Consider the following 18,453-nt stretch of genomic DNA (forward strand, 5'->3'; position numbering starts at 1 on the left):
ATCAGATGTGTTTTTGAAAGATCACTCTAGGAAAAGAATGGAGGAAGCAATTGGTGTTTGTCAATACTTGATTCTCATTTGCTCTCTTTCAGAATATTCAGCCCTTCAGAATAAAGTCAGCTTCACGACTGTGAAGTCACATTCTCAAAATGCATAGTCTGATTAAGAGATTCTCTGCATTCTCATTCCTTCTTGTCATAGACTAACGAAATACTTCACTGTAATCTAAACTAGATCAGATCATGACATTTCTGTCAGGCAATTTCACCCATCCTCACTGTTCATTACTTCCTAAATGCAATTTAACCTTAAAATTTGCATTGTCCCTGTCCGATTTCCCAAAGCTACCCTCTTTCTCAACTTTGGGTTGCATAACTTACTGTGTGACTTTGGACGAATTACTTAACTCTATGTTCCTCAGTTTCCCTAGCTGCCAATGTGGATATTAATACTTATCTCAAAAGAATGTTATGATGATAAATGATTCAATTCATGTAAAATACTGAGAACAGGTCTGGTGCGGTGGCTCACACCTGTAATCCCAGCACTTTGGGAGGCCGAGACAGGTGGATCACTTGAGGTCAGGATTTCAAGACCAGCCTAGCCAACATGGTGAAATCTCATCTCTACTAAAAAAAATACAAAAGTTAGCTGGGCGTGGGATAGGCACCTGTAATCCCAGCTACTCGGGAGACTGAGGCAGGATTATCACTTGAGCCTAGGAGGTGGAGGTTGCAGTGAGCCATGATCATGCCACTGAACTCCAGCCTGGGCAACGAAGTGAGACTCCATCTCAAAAAACAAAACAACAACAAATCCATTCTCCACAATACAGTCTGATCTTTTTCAAAATGCATATCTCATCAGGTCACGTTACTTTCATTACAAGCTCCCATTGCCCTCAAGATGAAAACATGGACTTCAGTCCTGCATTGGCTAGCTTCTACTTTTCCAGATTATCCTCATGATCACATCTATTCCAGAATGTACTCTGGCCAACCAGACTCCCAATGCCCTGAGAACTTCAGAAGTGCTCCTCCCTCTGTCTGGAATGCCCTACTTTCCCCTTCCCAGATACTGCCTACCTTCCCTGTTCTATAAAGTGCTCACAAACTTCATTTGCCTTCCCAGATGAAATTCCTTTTATTAAGCCCTCCCTTTTGTAGCAGTAAATTTGTTCACATGTGATTTGATCAGTTTCCGTCATAATACTAACACAGCAGAGCAGGCTGGGTGTTTTTACTCATCACATACATCCTCAATGCTCTGCAGCGGTGCACAGTAGTAGGTACCTGGTTAACTATTTGTGAAAAACATGAAAAATGGGAACAATGGGGCAGAGCCAAGTTAGGAAGTTCAGTCATCCAAGAATCAAGGAGTTGCTGCACTGAGGTATTGCACGATGATGGGGGCACTTAAATTTTTAGGAAAACGAATTAAAACATTGAATTAAACAATAATTTCAAGCAATTCCCAAACCAATTAATGCATAGATTAGGTTGTAACTGTCCAGATATGTTTGGCGACACAATTCTATTAGCATCAAGACTCATCTAAGTACCTGAAGTAGTGGCACCACCATCAGGCTCAGCAGTACAAAAAGGCACATCATTCTTGTCCTCCCTAATCTCCTGCAGTATGGATTTTGCCAAACCATTTCGATTAGAGCTTTCAAAGGCCAGTTTATTCGGGAGAAAGGGTCCATCCACTTGTAAGTTTCAATAGACAACCAACACGCCGGTGTTGGGGTAGGGGCTTTTGAGAAAGAGATGAGGATGCTCTGAGACAAGATTCCAACCGAGTGAACTAATTTTTTCAGACAAGGACCACAGTAGATTCTGTAGCTGAGTTGAGATTTGGTTTTGAGTTTCTGGTGCCTACAAAGCAGGTGGTTAGGGCTTTCTAATAAGCAGTTTAACATTGGTTTACAGCAGGCCTCACACCCAGAGTCTTTGGGCTAACTATAAGAGCAAACTACAGAGCAACTTATATGTAAGAACTGTTCTAAGCACTTGAGATTACATTTACAAGCTATTAAAAACAGTATTTGAGACTGTCAAGACAATCATATACATTTTATACAGCTATATAAAAAATTGTTCTACAGTAAGATTTCCTGGCCGGGCATGGTGGTTCACAGCTATAATCAGCACTTTGGGAAGCCGAGGTGGGTAGATCACTTGAGGTCAGGAGTTTGAAACCAGCCTGGCCAACATGGCCAAACCCTACTCTACTAAAAGTACAAAAAATTAGCCGGGCATGGTGGCTCACACCTGTAATTCCAGCTATTTAGGAAGCTGAGTCACTGCACTCCAGCCTGGGTGACAGAACGAGAGTGTCTAAAAAAAAGATTTCCTATATAACGCTACTTTTACCTGAGTACATAAAAGATTTTGGAAATCGTGGGAAAAAATTATACCAGCTATAAGCTATTTAAATACTGTTGATAGTTATCAGAGGGAAATCAAAATCATATAAACAGCATACTCAAAAAAATGAGACAAAAGTTCAAGAGTATAATATTTTTTATTCACTGATAAACTAAAAGCCAATTTCTTGGTATTTCTCATGTATACTTCATTTATTTTATTAATAAGCAAAGCCCTGTAAGGGGAGCCTTTGCCTAGTCCTCCGACTCTGATTCATCTTCATCTTGACTAATCTGGAAGTAACGAAGTTCGTAGGTCTCCTTGTCAGATGCAACCACTCGAAGCCAATCACGAAGATTGTTCTTCTTAAGGTATTTCTTGGTAAGGTATTTCAAATACCTTTTAAAATAAAAACATAAATTTCATTAAGAAATACAATTCCTACTATGTAAAGGTTTACTATACGAAAAATATACATCATCATATTCATCTTTTCTGTACCTAGCTTCCTCCAAAATATTTCATCCTTCCATTCACAGGATGTATTGTGTAAGACTGTTAGGGTAGCATCCTCTTGTCATACTGCCACACTATATATTGTTCAAGATTGTTAGGGTAGCATTCTCTTGTCAAACTGCTACAGCCAAATTATTTAAGCAATATGATTTCACTCTTCAAATATATTATCTGTGTATATATATGTGAAAACGTTAACACCTCCTTCACCACTATCAAGCCCCCTAGCTCCCAATCCCACCCCGGCTCAACAGGCAACCTATTAATAATAGGGTTAAACCCATACTATGCTCATTAAGTCTCAACTTCTCTGAAAATTCTTGGGCTCTCTCTACATCTAATGTAACTAGAGTTGTATTTTACAATAATTATCTGATTATCTGTAAGATACTTGATTTACAGCTACTACAGCTACTACATTTTTATCTCTGAATCCTTAGTGATTATAATCTCAGTTAACATGTACTGCAACCACTTTAGTCCAAGCCATCATTGTCTCTCACTGAAATTAGCTCTTACATCTTCAGTTTCCACCAGATGTATCACCCTAGTCTTTTTCAGCCACAATAAACAATTGCTTCCCATTACACATCCCATGGCTTTCAAGATCTGCTCCCCAGACACCCTCCAATCTCATGCATTCCTCCCAGAACACTATACCCCAGACACACTGGCTTTGTTACTATTACTTTAATCTGCCAGGCTTCTGGTTCATCCTGCCTGTAACAACTGCAAGGCTCACTTCTGCATTTCATTTCCTGACCAACTTACCAACGTACCCAAAAACTCTGCAACTAGTTTTATGCCCTTACAGCACTTATCACTGCTTGATTAATTCCATTTCACTCTCTCTTCTCCACTAGAAGTTTCTTGGTGGTGGGTAAACTGCCTGCTTGGTTCACTGTTGGGTTACCCAGTCCTGTGCTGCCCATGTAGTATTTAATATTTGGTGAATAAATTCAACAAATAAAAACTGGCAGCAAGATGTTAAGACTTTGACTTTAACTGGCTACCTCTACTGAATAAATAACTTGAGACAATTCTCCTATGTACACATCAGACATGTTTCTTGCAACATACTCAAATACTAAAGTACTCAGCATTAAAGGTTATATACAATTTGGATTTACAGGGCCTATAATTTACTGGACTGGGACTGTGGACACAACTGGCTCATATTCTAGCAATAAATGACACTTACAACTAGACTCAGCAATTGGCACTCATTTACTGAATTTCCCATTTATGTAGGCCTTTAGTCTAAAGTTCATATTTATTCTTGCATATAAACAGAATACATGTAATAACTACATATTCTATGAAATATTCCAAAACTACTATAGTTTTATTAAAATTTGCAAAAGTACCAACCTTTTAGAGAACTGTTTCTCAGAAACAACTGTGATTTTATTCTTGAAGCGTTCAATGTGAACAACATTCCCGAGATTTCCAGTTTTGCCATTGACTTTAACCTTCTCCCGTAGAAATTGCTCCTATTTTAAAACAGAAAAAATGCAAAACTAGGGAAGAGAACCCTAGATATTCACTAGGGAAGGTACCCTAGGAATAGAGCTTAGGTTATTATCAAATACTATATATTTAAACCATTATCAATAACTCTGATTACAAAAATAAGCCGAGTAGAATGATACTTACAAAATTTCCAGAATCAAAAATTCCATCTTCTACTGGATGAGTAAGGTCCAAATTAAACCTCCAGGTTGACCTCTTGGGCTTCCTGTCTTTCTGCTACATAAATGAGAAATAATTATGTAGCTATATAAAACAACTTATTCAATTTATATAAACAATTTTAAAGTTTGTACCAATGCAATCTGTACAATGTACTGTTAGGTTACATATACAGAAATGTAACAATAAATAAAAAAACACCACCACTACCCACGCCGGGGTTGATTTGAACCTCTAACCAAGTCCTAATATGTTCAAGTTGTCAAAAAGTTACGGACTTTCATTGTTTTCTATACTACCAATGATCAATTTTAAATTATCGTGCTTTTCTGCCACCCCACTGCAGATGGGAATAGGTTAGTATACTGCCTAGCCCAAGCTCAGGTAAGTGCCAGAGCTAGGATTCCACCCACCTATGTCTAGAAAATTCAATTCTTACGTTATTATAGGCAAGGGAAGGGGACTTTGGTAAAAAAAAAAAAAAAGAAAAGAAAAGAAAAAGAAAAAATAAAAATAAAAAAGGCAAGGTGCCGTCCCAGCACTTTGGGAGGCTGAGGCAGGAGGATCACGTGAGGTCAGGAGTTCAAGGCCAGCCTGGCCAACATGGTGAAACCCCATCTCTAGTAAAAATACAAAAATTAGCCAGGTGTGGTGGTGCATGCTTATAATCCTAGCTATTCAGGAGGCTGAGTCGGGAGGATTGCTTGAACCCGGGAGGCGGAGGTTGTAGTGAGCCTGATCATGCCACTATACTCCCACCTGGGCAACAGACTCTGTCTCAAAAAAAAAAAAAAACCTAAAAACCAACACCGTGGAACTTAAATTTTCCATATCCAAACCTTTTATACCAAGACCATATAATATGGCTACATAAGCAAAATGTTACTGTGGCCAGCAACCATGTACATTCACTGCAATATGAACAAACAAATCTGTATTTATCAGACTATAACCTCCAATTTAGATTCACCCAAGTGGCTACCAAGTATTACACATTAGTTTGCTTTCTCAGGTAGCATGGTAACATGTGCCAAAAGATAATTACCCAGTTGGCGCAGAAGTTAATTTGGGAGACACAAACAACTTCTGTCTAATGGAACAGATAACCCTATAGGGTTTATGGCCATGCTGGGCATTACCCAGTTTTGTAGCTAGCCCAGCAATTTTATCCTAACTTTATTTGTAAATTGCGCATGTATATCTAGCTTTTCAGATATTCTTAGGAACATTTTAACATCTTACTGGTTCCCTTACTAATGACTTAAGTAAAACATCTGAAGCACGTTTATTTCACATTGCTGGAATCTAGACTTATACTTTTCTAAAAATTACTTCACCGAGAAACTTCTTCCCCAACTGAAAGTTCTCAAAAACTTGTGATGTCGGCCATCGCGGGAGCTGAGCGCCTAGGAGCTCCCTCTGGCCTGGCAAAGGTCGTCAGACCGGCCCGATTACCCACCATTCCCCTACCCAGTGCTGAGTGGCAAAAGCATTATCAGGCGCGAGATAGTAAAGAAATGGCTCAGATTGCAGTACCACCGGCCCATTTACAGTTGTGCCTCCCTCTTTCCCGCGTGTCCAAAACCACCCATCCTAAACCAATTCCGGGCCCAGCTCCAACTCCACTAGACCTCATGGCAGCTGCCAGGGAGTCTCGAAAAACAGTTCAGGATCCTCGCGTCTTGGTTGTGTTTCTGACCCAGACTTCACTACTCCCCTCCCTTTATCTTGACTGAGACGTCTCCACTCGACAGATGCAAAAATCGTTACAGCGGAAATCATTAAATTGCCACACAACACTCCCACCAAGACATCGCTCACTCACCGGCGCCATCTTGCGAGTCGGCCGCGAGAGCAGAGAGGAAGCTACGGCCGCGCGGTCTGCATTTATATCAAAGCGTGCTGCGTCACGCGCTGAGAGCGTCAGATTGTCGCCTCCCGGAAAAGAAAGCGGGAGGAGCGCTGAGGCCGGTAACCCAGGAAACCAGTGCGCTGCCGGACGAGAGTAGGCCATCGGCTTTCCGCGGGCACACGCGGGTGGCTGTGGTTGAACTGACTCTCGGGTTTCCGCTCCTGGCTGTTCAAGCCGATTAATTGCAGTGGCCTCTACAGTTACCTAGTGGCTGCTCCCGGATACGGACGCACGCGAGGGATGCAGGAGTCATCTTTCACTAATCACCGGAATCCCCTTTCCAATCAGGGCAAGGCAGTGTCTCAGGTTGCTTTGGGATCTCCTTTTATTGCAGTTATAATCCTCCAGCGAAAAAGTTATTTGTTTGTGTTTTGTCTGTGAGCCTCGTTTTCTAAATGACTGTTGAGGGAAATTGGTGCTTCGGGGACCAGGTCCTCGGGAAAAAAAAATCATGTATATATATGCTTACACGCCCACGCCTGTAATCCCAGCACTTTGGGAGGCCGAGGCCGGAGAATCTCTTGAGCCCAGGAGTTCGAGACCACCCTTGGCAGCGTAGGCATAGGGAGAACCCGTCTCTACAAACAATTTTAAAAAAAATGGCCCGCGTGGTGGTGCGCGTCTGTACTCCCAGCCACTCGGGAGGCTGAGGCAGGAGCATCGCTTTACCTTGAGAGGCGGAAGTTGCAGTGAGTCGAGATCGAGCCACTGCACTCCAGCCTGGGTAACAGTGAGACTGTCTCAAAGGGAAAAACACGTAGTGCTTGCTTCTTGTTCATTCGTTTGGTATAATTTATCATGGGTTTTACAGTTAATCCCAGGTCTCTTGATTTCCATCCAAAATGCTCCCAGTTAAAATTCAATGAATGTTTGCTGTGACCTATCAGTATGTACAAGACACACGAGGGTGGAAGTGTCTTGCTGACAAAAGGAAAAAGTAGCTTTTGAGCTTTGAAGGATTGTAAATTGACATCAGATCCGAAAAGTGGCATGCTGAACCGCTTGGGTTTAGCAGTAATATGTTTTCGTGGAGATGAAATTATCATACCTAGGGGTAGGGGTAAGGGATGGGGTGGACTTTGTTGTTAATTTGAAGAATGACCCCAGAAAGTAAGAACTGTTCGTGGCCTTTATGCCAGCAAGTAGTTATCGTGGAAACTATGCTTTAATAGAGCATATGACTTGTAGAGTCTGAAGAGAGGCCCTGAATTCCTAGAAGAAATCCATTTCAACAAGATTTTTTAGTTGTCTGCCTTAAGAGCTACAATAATCACATTTCTCTTTCCAAACATTAAAGGGAGCAATTGGCATTTCCTCCTCAAGGGCTGCCTAAGCTGAGGGGCAGAAATGATTCTATTTTGCTTGTCTTTAGCAGTCTTCCATGTCTTGACAATAAACTCCTTAAGCACTATTAAGCCATTTGTACAAGGAGGATATGGAAACATACCTGTTTCACAAGAACTAGTAATCACCAAATAACTAGTTAGAAACTGTAATGGGGGAAAAATGTTTGTCAATTAGAAAAAAAAACAAGAATATTAGCGAGAAATGTGCAGATGGGAAGACTAAAAGTTGTAAATAATTCAGTTCTTCCCAAACTGTGCGTGTGCACACGTATATAGTAACACAATGCTAGTCAATACCCTATAGTTATTTTTTAAAAATTTGACAGCTAATTAAAAAAATTTTAACATTTATTTTAGATTCAGAGGGTACATGTACAGTTTTGTTACATGAATATATATAATGATGGTGGGGTTGGGGTGCGATTGATCCCTTCACCCAGGTAGTGAAAATAGTACCCAATAATTAGATTTTCAACCCTTCCCCACTTCTAGTATTCCCAGTGTCTATTTTTGCCATCTTCATGCCCATGAGTATCCAATGTTTAGTTCCCACTTACAAGTGAGAAGTACAGTATTTGATTTTCTGTTCCTGCATTAATTCGCCTAGGATAATGGCCTCCAGCTGCAGCCATGTTGCTGCAAAGTATGTGATTTTGTTCTTTATGGCTTGTGTTGACAGCTAATTCTAAAACGTATGACACAATAAATGTCTGAAAAGAGCCAAGACACTCTAGACCAATGAAAGGGAGTATGCCTTTCCAGCTCTTCCAATATAAGATATAATAGATGATAGATATGTATTTAATATATTATAAACTTCAGTCATTGGATCTACATGATGCTGAAGCCTTAGTAAACAGATCAGTAAGCAAAAAAACACAGAAAAACCCCTCCATATGTAACTACCTTACCAATGGCTAAAATATAGTTTTATTTTTATGTATGCATTTATTTATTTTTTAGAGACATAGTCTTGCTCTGTCGCCTAGGCTGGAGTGCAGTGGCGCAATCTCAGCTCACTGCAACCTCCGCCTCCCTGGTTCAAGCAATTCTCCTGCTTCAGCCTCCCAAGTAGCTGGGATTACAGGCGCTTACCACCAGGTATGGCTAATTTTTCTATTTTTACTAGGGTTTTCGCCATGTTGACCAGACTGGTTTCGAACTCTTGGCCTCAACTGATCCGCCCACCTTGGCCTCCCAAAGTGCTGGGGTTACAGGTGTGAGCCATTGTGCCCGGCCTAAAATACAGTTTTATAAATAATTTTTTAATGTATGGTTGAGCTGGTGGAAAAGTAAAATAATTTTTAGGGGCAGAAATGACAAGCAATGATCATACATGTTTGGAACTTGAATTAGCTCTGCTCAGATAGCATGAAAAAGCTCCAAACTGAATATGTAGTTTAAAGTGTGCTTGTATTATTAACACCAGACAGAAGCAAGGGCAAATACTCTCTGGAGAAATGCATTTTAGATCCAGGTACAAATAATTCCCTGAGATAAGCTTCAAGAAATATGAGCTGACAGGTTTTGTTTTGTTTTGTTGAGATGGAGTCTTGTTCTGTCGCCAGGCTGGAGTGCAGTGGCAAGATCTCAGCTCACTGCAACTTCTGCCTCCAGGGTTCAAGTGATTCTCCTGCCTCAGCCTCTCGAGTAGCTGGGACGACAGGCGCACCACCATGCCAGCTAATTTTTGTATTTTTAGTAGAGACGGGGTTTCACCATGTTGGCCAGGATGGTCTCGATCTCTTGACCTCGTGATCTGCCCGCCTTGGCTTCCCAAAGTGCTGGGATTACAGGTGTGAGCCACCGTGCCCGGCAGAGCTGACAGTTTTTTAAAATCATGAAAATACAGGAAAACAAGCCACCGTGGATGAAAATCAACATCAAAAACCTATGAAATCAGACTCACAGAGACTTTATATGTTGGAATTATGAAATGCAGAATATAAAATAAGTATTTGTAGTATATGCAAAAACTAAAAGTATTTAGGATATGATAAGGAAGTCAGAGACAATCAAAATTGATCAGATTTTTTTTTTTTTTTTGAAAAACAGCAAAAGGAGACCGGGCACGGTGGCTCAAGCCTGTAATCCCAGCAGTTTGGGAGGCTGAGGTAGGCAGATCACTTGAGGTTAGGAGTTCGAGACCACCCTGGCCAACATAGAGAAACCCCCGTCTCTACTAAAAATACAAAAATTAGCTGGGTGTGGTGGTGATGCCTGTAGTCTCAACTACTTGGGAAGCTGAGGCAGGGGAATCACTTGAACTGGGGAGGTGGAGGTTGCAGTGAGCTGAGATCATGCCATTACACTCCAGCCTGGGCAACAGAGCAAGACTCCGTCTCAAAAAAAAAAAAAACAAAAAAACAAAAGAGAACATTTAGACATTAAAAAGAGAAAAACTGAAATTAGAAAAAGTAGATGAGTTAAACAAGAGAGTAAACAGCTGAAGAGAAATCAGTGAGTGGGAAATTACTTAGAATGCAATGTGGAAAAGCAAATAGATGTAAGGTATAAAAAACAGGTTAAGAGACCAGGATGTCAGAATAAAAGTTTTCTGGATATGTCAACCAGGAGATCCAGAAGGATGTAATAGAGACAATGGGGAAATGGCAAAATCTAGAGAGATAATGGCTGAATTTCCAGATACAGGAATCCCCAAGAGGGATAATTTTAAAGAAATGCACACCTATATACATTGTAGTGAAACTTCAAAACACAAAGTCATTTCAAAAGCACCCAGAGAAGGAAAAGACAAAATATTTACTAAATGACTTATACTAATAGCTGACTTTCCATCTGCAACAATGGAAGCCGGAGGCAAAGGAATATTATCTGCAGAGCACTGTGAGAAAATAACTGTCTACCTAGAGCTACAAAAAACAAAACAAAACCAAGAATACATTTCAAGAGTAAAGATGCATTTATGACATTTTTAGGCCACAAAGCTGAAAGTTTGCCATCAAGAGCTCTTCAGTAAAGGAATTCTGAAAGATATACTTTAGGAAGAAGGAAAATGACCCTAGAAAGAAGGCTTATATGTCAAAAGAAATGGTGAGCAAAGAAAATAGCAAACTTGTGAGTAAATCTAAACAACTACTAACTGTAGACAATAGTAATAATTATGTCTAATTTGTGGGTTCACAGAACTTTTTTAAAAAACTCAATATCATAGGCAGATTATGTACTGTTAATGTTGTATTTCTTCATCTTGGTGATATTTACATGGGTATGTTTACTTTGTGAAGACTCATCAAGCTGTAAATTATAATCTGTTCATTTTTTCTGTATATATGTTATAATTCAATTAATAGTAATAAGATAGTATAAACTACCACTTGCCAATATATGGCAAATTAGATAAAATGAGCAAATTCCTAGAAAAATACAGTTTATCAGAATGTACACAAGAAGAAATAGAATATCTGAATAGTCCTATATCTTTTAAATAAATTGCATTTGTAATTAAAACCTTCCCACAAAAAAACCATAGGCAGATTATATACTGTTCATGTTTTAGCAGTGAATTCTACCAAACAATTGAGGAAGAAACAATGCCAGTTGTAACAATTTTATGCCAAAACTCACATTCTGCCAGTTTACCTTTTAATTCAGGGCAGGGGAGAATTTATCTACAGCTTCCTGTCCCCTGCTGATAAATGTTTGTCTTTGGCTTGTTAACTCCCTTGCATTTTCAGGTTGTAAATATATAAGTGGGTATCTGTAGGGAGGTTCCCACAGGTGTCCCATGCTTCATGTCAGAGAAGCCATGGGGTAGAAGGTGAAATATATGCGGGGAGGTGCTGTCAAGTTACGCCTGCATGAAACTGGTTGCTGCTCCTTTCTTTCTTTTGATTGGACGGTTTAGTGCATTCTATATTACTACATGAGAGATTCCAGAAGAATTAAGCCTCGGTTGTCCCCAGCACATTTCTGTTTGCTTTTGTTCTTTCCAAGTTTCATTTTTCCTGGTTTCTTCTGTTACCTGAGATCACTTCCTAAATAAATCAACTACATGCAGCCAATAGGCTAAGAAACCAATTTACAAACTCTCTGGGCATATTAGAGACATTCATCAACTTTTTAATGAGGCCAGCATAACTTTGATATTAAAACCTGACAAGGACATTTTGAGAAAGGAAAATTATACCCCAGTCTCATTCATGAATATATATATATATATTCTATATATATGTGTATATATACAACATACTATAGTCACAGATAAATATTTAGCAAACCATATCTAACAATATATCATTAGATTATTTACAATCATTCATAAATATATCCATAATGTAAGTATCTGTGTATTTTGAACTATGAAAAAATGCTGTGACATTTAGGCAAATAGTACTCTAAACAGAATTCTCTGTTGTGGTCCTTTTATATGTCATACATCTTGTCTTTCTGCAGCTCTGTATCTGTCCTGGGTTTGTGCATCACACAAGGTTTCTTACAGGAGCAGATGGTTCACCTTATTCTGTAGTGTTGTCTTTTGGAAGACCTCAGCTCTGCTAACAGCACAAAGGATCACACTGTAATGTAGAAAGTAGACAATGTGTGCATCTCTGAAATATACTTGTTATTAAAACTCATCTGTTTTCTTTTTCATTTTCTTTTTTTCTTTTTTTTTTCTTTTTTTTTTTTTTTTTTTGAGATGGAGTGTCACTCTGTCACCCAGGGTAGAGTGCAGTGGTGCAATCTCGGCTCACTGCAACTTCCGTCTCCCGGGTTCAAGCGATTCTCCTGCCTCAGCCTCCTGAGTACCTGGGATTACAGGTGTGTGCCACCATGCCCGGCTAATTTTTGTATTTTTAGTAGAGACGAAGTTTCACCATGTTGGTCAGGCTGGTCTCGAACTCCTGACTTCGTGATCCACCCGCCTCGGCCTCCCAAAGAGCTCATCTATTTTCTAGAAGCTGATTTGGAAAAAAAAAAAAAAAGAGAAGTCTCTAAATTACCCTTTACCCAAACTTCCAGTCATCAAAGTTACCACTGTTTAAGTATTGTAAAAAAATATATATAGATTTTATATGTGTAGCAAACAGCATTCTATTTCTTTCTGTGCCATGTGCTACAAAGTGGAGCGTGTTGAGCATCATGAGGCATTGCACTACCATTTCCGGGAAAATATACTTTAATGACATTGAAGTGCAAACAGTCTCATGGAAGCAAACTGTGCAGCTTTGGCTAAGAATGGGCTGAAGCCCTGTGCAAACAACAATGAGATACTGAGGACAATCTTAAAAGTACTGAAGAATATTGCTTTTAAAATCCCAAACCTATGTATAGTTCTTTGTTATATACTCATTAATGAAAGCTAAGGGGACCAGGGAAGGGAAATAGGGACTTAAGTTACTGCTGCTTGCCTTTTCTTTACTAATTAGATTCAAGAGCATTAAAAACTATGATTAAAACGTGTACGCTTGCTTCATTGCATCTTTTGTCTCAATGTGTATTTAGGAAAACCTAAGTTATTTGTTTTTATTATTTTTAACAAATTGCAGTTTCATCCAAGTAATATTTTCTTGTTGTATAGTGCCACAGGAATTCTGAACATTGATCAGTCTTTAAAATGAAAACAAGTATCTTTTTTCATTGCTTCATTTTATTTCTTGTTATTTTCAGCATATTGGATGGATATTTAGATTATCCCATTTTTTCACTATTATAAACAATGTTTTGAGGAATTTTTTTTTTTTTTTTGAGACGGAGTCTCGCTTTGTTGCCCAGGCTGGAGTGCAGTGGCTCAATCTCGGCTCACTGCAAGCTCTGCCTCCCAGGTTCATGCCATTCTCCTGCCTCAGCCTCCCAAGTGGCCGGGACTACAGGCATGCACCACCATGCCCAGCTAATTTTTGTATTTTTTAGTAGAGACGGGGTGTCACCATGTTGGCCAGGCTGGTCTTGAACTCCTGATGACCTCAAGTGATCTGCCTGCCTCGGCCTCCCAAAGTGTTGGGGTGTGAGCCATTGCGCCCAGCCAGAACTTTCTTAATTAACAAAATTATCTTATGTGAAAAGAAATGTTCATGCAAGAAAATATAGAGAAACCAAAAATATAATGCATAAAAATATGTAAAACCCCACTTGCTCAGAAATAGCTATTAAATGCTTTGGAGATGTGCATGTCTGTAAACATGTCTGTGTGCATCTGTCTATCTACTTACATCTATCTATCTATCTATCTCCTTTAGATGACATAAATTTATAAAGATTGGATGGTACTATATATACTTTTTGAGTTCAAAAAATTTTATTTAGAAGTAATTTAAACGTTATAAAAGATTGTAAAAACAGTTCAAAGCACACACACACACACACCCTCCCTTTATCCAGATTTTTACTTATTTTGTCCCACTTATTTGTTCTCTGTCTCACCAACACATATACCTCTTTTATTGTTTCTGGACTTCCAACCAGTTTTGTTAAAGCCAGGTTACAGAGGAAGTCACTCATGTTTTCTTCTAGGACTTGTATAGTTTTATTGCTTTCATTTAGATCTCTGCTTCATTTGTAGTTTATTCATATGTATGTTGTATGGAATTCATCTTATTTTTCTAGTTGTCCTAAAACAATTAATGTATGTCAATCTTTTTTTTTTTTGTTATAAAACTTATGGTTTTATTTTGCAGCAACCAAATATTCCTTATATAAGCAACAGATAAACAGAGTACTTTAAAATATTTGTTTACAATAAAATTGGGCTTCCCTTCATATGTTAAATACAACTTATGTGCCAGAAAAGTGTGAAAGGAAAATAGAATCTTGGGACCCCAAACTCACTATGCCAAAGGAGAAGTTAAGCTTGGGAACTGAGTCATGCAAAAACTGCCTTCCTTCTGTCCCCAGACAGATAGCTGTAATTTCACATATTTACTTTCTCTTATGTAAAATATAGATTTATTGAGCATGAGAGGAATGCATAATTGACTTATTGTTCTACTCCCTTTCTTTCTTCCTTTTTTTTTTTAGTTATACTTTTAAGTTTTAGGGTACATGTGCACATTGTGCAGGTTAGTTACATATGTATACATGTGCCATGCTGGTGCGCTGCACCCACTAACTCGTCATCTAGCATTAGGTATATCTCCTGATGCTATCCCTCCCCCCTCCCCCCACCCCACAACAGTCTCCAGAGTGTGATATTCCCCTTCCTGTGTCCATGTGATCTCATTGTTCAATTCCCGCCTATGAGTGAGAATATGCGGTGTTTGGTTTTTTGTTCTTGCGATAGTTTACTGAGAATGATGATTTCCAATTTCATCCATGTCCCCACAGAGGACATGAACTCATCCTTTTTTATGGCTGCATAGTATTCCATGGTGTATATGTGCCACATTTTCTTAATCCAGTCTATCATTGTTGGACATTTGGGTTGGTTCCAAGTCTTTGCTATTGTGAATAATGCCGCAATAAACATACGTGTGCATGTGTCTTTATAGCAGCATGATTTATAATCCTTTGGGTATATACCCAGTAATGGGATGGCTGGGTCAAATGGTATTTCCAGTTCTAGATCCCTGAGGAATCGCCACACTGACTTCCACAATGGTTGAACTAGTTTACAGTCCCACCAACAGTGTAAAAGTGTTCCTATTTCTCCACATCCTCTCCAGCACCTGTTGTTTCCTGACTTTTTAATGATTGCCATTCTAAGTGGTGTGAGATGGTATCTCATTGTGGTTTTGATTTGCATTTCTCTGATGGCCAGTGATGATGAGCATTTTTTCATGTGTTTTTTGGCTGCATAAATGTCTTCTTTTGAGAAGTGTCTGTTCATGTCCTTCGCCCACTTTTTGATGGGGTTGTTTGTTTTTTTCTTGTAAATTTGTTTGAGTTCATTGTAGATTCTGGATATTAGCCCTTTGTCAGATGAGTAGGTTGCGAAAATTTTCTCCCATTTTGTAGGTTGCCTGTTTACTCTGATGGTAGTTTCTTTTGCTGTGCAGAAGCTCTTGAGTTTAATTAGATCCCATTTGTCAATTTTGTCTTTTGTTGCCATTGCTTTTGGTGTTTTAGACATGAAGTCGTTGCCCATGCCTATGTCCTGAATGGTAATGCCAAGGTTTTCTTCTAGGGTTTTTATGGTTTTAGGTCTAACGTTTAAGTCTTTAATCCATCTTGAATTGATTTTTGTATAAGGTGTAAGGAAGGGATCCAGTTTCAGCTTTCTACATATGGCTAGCCAGTTTTCCCAGCACCATTTATTAAATAGGGAATCCTTTCCCCATTGCTTGTTTTTGTCAGGTTTGTCAAAGATCAGATAGTTGTAGATATGCGGCGTTATTTCTGAGGGCTCTGTTCTGTTCCATTGATCTATATCTCTGTTTTGGTACCAGTACCATGCTGTTTTGGTTACTGTAGCCTTGTAGTATAGTTTGAAGTCAGGTAGCATGATGCCTCCAGCTTTGTTCTTTTGGCTTAGGATTGACTTGGCGATGTGGGCTCTTTTTTGGTTCCATATGAACTTTAAAATAGTTTTTTCCAATTCTGTGAAAAAAGTCATTGGTAGCTTGATGGGGATGGCATTGAATCTGTAAATTACCTTAGGCAGTATGGCCATTTTCATGATATTGATTCTTCCTACCCATGAGCATGGAGTGTTCTTCCATTTGTTTGTATCCTCTTTTATTTCCTTGAGCAGTGGTTTGTAGTTCTCCCTGAAGAGGTCCTTCACATCCCTTGTAAGTTGGATTCCTAGGTATTTTATTCTCTTTGAAGCAATTGTGAATGGGACTTCACTCATGATTTGGCTCTCTGTTTGTCTGTTGGTGGTGTATAAGAATGCTTGTGATTTTTGTACATTGATTTTGTATCCTGAGACTTTGCTGAAGTTGCTTATCAGCTTAAGGAGATTTTGGGCTGAGACAATGGAGTTTTCTAGATATACAATCATGTCGTCTGCAAACAGGGACAATTTGACTTCCTCTTTTCCTAATTGAATACCCTTTATTTCCTTCTCCTGCCTAATTGCCCTGGCCAGAACTTCCAACACTATGTTGAATAGGAGTGGTGAGAGAGGGCATCCCTGTCTTGTGCCAGTTTTCAAAGGGAATGCTTCCAGTTTTTGCCCATTCAATATGATATTGGCTGTGGGTTTGTCATAGATAGCTCTTATTATTTTGAAATACGTCCCATCAATACCTAATTTATTGAGAGTTTTTAGCATGAAGGGTTGTTGAATTTTGTCAAAGGCTTTTTCTGCATCTATTGAGATAATCATGTGGTTTTTTGTCTTTGGCTCTGTTTATATGCTGGATTACATTTATTGATTTGCGTATATTGAACCAGCCTTGCATCCCAGGGATGAAGCCCACTTGATCATGGTGGATAAGCTTTTTGATGTGCTGCTGGATTCGTTTTGCCAGTATTTTATTGAGGATTTTTGCATCAATGTTCATCAAGGATATTGGTCTAAAATTCTCTTTTTTTGTTGTGTCTCTGCCTGGCTTTGGTATCAGAATGATGCTGGCCTCATAAAATGAGTTAGGGAGGATTCCCTCTTTTTCTATTGATTGGAATAGTTTCAGAAGGAATGGTACCAGTTCCTCCTTGTACCTCTGGTAGAATTCGGCTGTGAATCCATCTGGTCCTGGACTCTTTTTGGTTGGTAAGCTATTGATTATTGCCACAATTTCAGCTCCTGTTATTGGTCTATTCAGAGATTCAACTTCTTCCTGGTTTAGTCTTGGGAGAGTGTATGTGTCGAGGAATTTATCCATTTCTTCTAGATTTTCTAGTTTATTTGCGTAGAGGTGTTTGTAGTATTCTCTGATGGTAGTTTGTATTTCTGTGGGATCGGTGGTGATATCCCCTTTATCATTTTTAATTGCGTCTATTTGATTCATCTCTCTTTTTTTCTTTATTAGTCTTGCTAGCGGTCTATCAATTTTGTTGATCCTTTCAAAAAACCAGCTCCAGGATTCATTAATTTTTTGAAGGGTTTTTTGTGTCTCTATTTCCTTCAGTTCTGCTCTGATTTTAGTTATTTCTTGCCTTCTGCTAGCTTTTGAATGTGTTTGCTCTTGCTTTTCTAGTTCTTTTAATTGTGATGTTAGGGTGTCAATTTTGGATCTTTCCTGCTTTCTCTTGTGGGCATTTAGTGCTATAAATTTCCCTCCACACACTGCTTTGAATGTGTCCCAGAGATTCTGGTATGTTGTGTCTTTGTTCTCGTTGGTTTCAAAGAACATCTTTATTTCTGCCTTCATTTCGTTATGTACCCAGTAGTCATTCAGGAGCAGGTTGTCCAGTTTCCATGTAGTTGAGTGGTTTTGAGTGAGATTCTTAATCCTGAGTTCTAGTTTGATTGCACTGTGGTCTGAGAGATAGTTTGTTATAATTTCTGTTCTTTTACATTTGCTGAGGAGAGCTTTACTTCCCAGTATGTGGTCAATTTTGGAATAGGTGTGGTGTGGTGCTGAAAAAAATGTATATTCTGTTGATTTGGGGTGGAGAGTTCTGTAGATGTCTATTAGGTCCGCTTGGTGCAGAGCTGAGTTCAATTCCTGGGTATCCTTGTTAACTTTCTGTCTCGTTGATCTATCTAATGTTGACAGTGGGGTGTTAAAGTCTCCGATTATTAATGTGTGGGAGTCTAAGTCTCTTTGTA

General features: G+C 39.1%; 1 protein-coding gene across 3 annotated transcripts, besides 3 other annotated features; it reads right to left on the reverse strand.

Annotated features, from left to right (window-relative positions):
- Positions 1-1,118: 1,118 nt before the first annotated feature.
- RPL22L1 (ribosomal protein L22 like 1) lies at positions 1,119-6,439 on the reverse strand. Of its 3 annotated transcripts, none has more exons than NR_135259.2 (4): positions 6,403-6,439; positions 4,542-4,634; positions 4,257-4,445; positions 1,119-2,768 (listed from the first exon to the last, which is right to left on the reverse strand). NR_135259.2 is itself a non-coding variant. In NM_001320451.2 (4 exons), the coding sequence occupies exons 1-4, from the start codon at positions 6,409-6,411 to the stop codon at positions 2,624-2,626; spliced, it is 366 nt and encodes a 121-aa protein (NP_001307380.1). In that variant the 5' UTR covers positions 6,412-6,439; the 3' UTR covers positions 1,119-2,623. The 3 variants fall into 3 exon arrangements, 2 of the variants coding, with proteins under 2 accessions (NP_001307380.1, NP_001093115.1); NM_001320451.2 differs by having other exon boundaries at positions 4,257-4,378; positions 4,542-4,631; NM_001099645.2 differs by having other exon boundaries at positions 4,257-4,378.
- Positions 5,932-5,981: an enhancer, noted in NCBI's record as "active region_20807". NCBI's record gives its function as "activates an Ori minimal core promoter by ATAC-STARR-seq in GM12878 lymphoblastoid cells {active_cell/tissue: GM12878}" and the evidence as "EXISTENCE:reporter gene assay evidence [ECO:0000049][PMID:35858748]".
- Positions 6,151-6,877: an enhancer, noted in NCBI's record as "NANOG-H3K27ac-H3K4me1 hESC enhancer chr3:170587696-170588422 (GRCh37/hg19 assembly coordinates)". NCBI's record gives its function as "activates a minimal SCP1, AML or CMV promoter by ChIP-STARR-seq in primed H9 embryonic stem cells {active_cell/tissue: H9 hESC(primed)}" and the evidence as "EXISTENCE:reporter gene assay evidence [ECO:0000049][PMID:30033119]".
- Positions 6,878-7,603: an enhancer, noted in NCBI's record as "H3K27ac-H3K4me1 hESC enhancer chr3:170588423-170589148 (GRCh37/hg19 assembly coordinates)". NCBI's record gives its function as "activates a minimal SCP1, AML or CMV promoter by ChIP-STARR-seq in naive H9 embryonic stem cells {active_cell/tissue: H9 hESC(naive)}" and the evidence as "EXISTENCE:reporter gene assay evidence [ECO:0000049][PMID:30033119]".

This window comes from Homo sapiens, chromosome 3 (genome assembly GCF_000001405.40).
Source record: "Homo sapiens chromosome 3, GRCh38.p14 Primary Assembly".
Classification (NCBI taxonomy): Eukaryota; Metazoa; Chordata; class Mammalia; order Primates; family Hominidae; genus Homo; species Homo sapiens.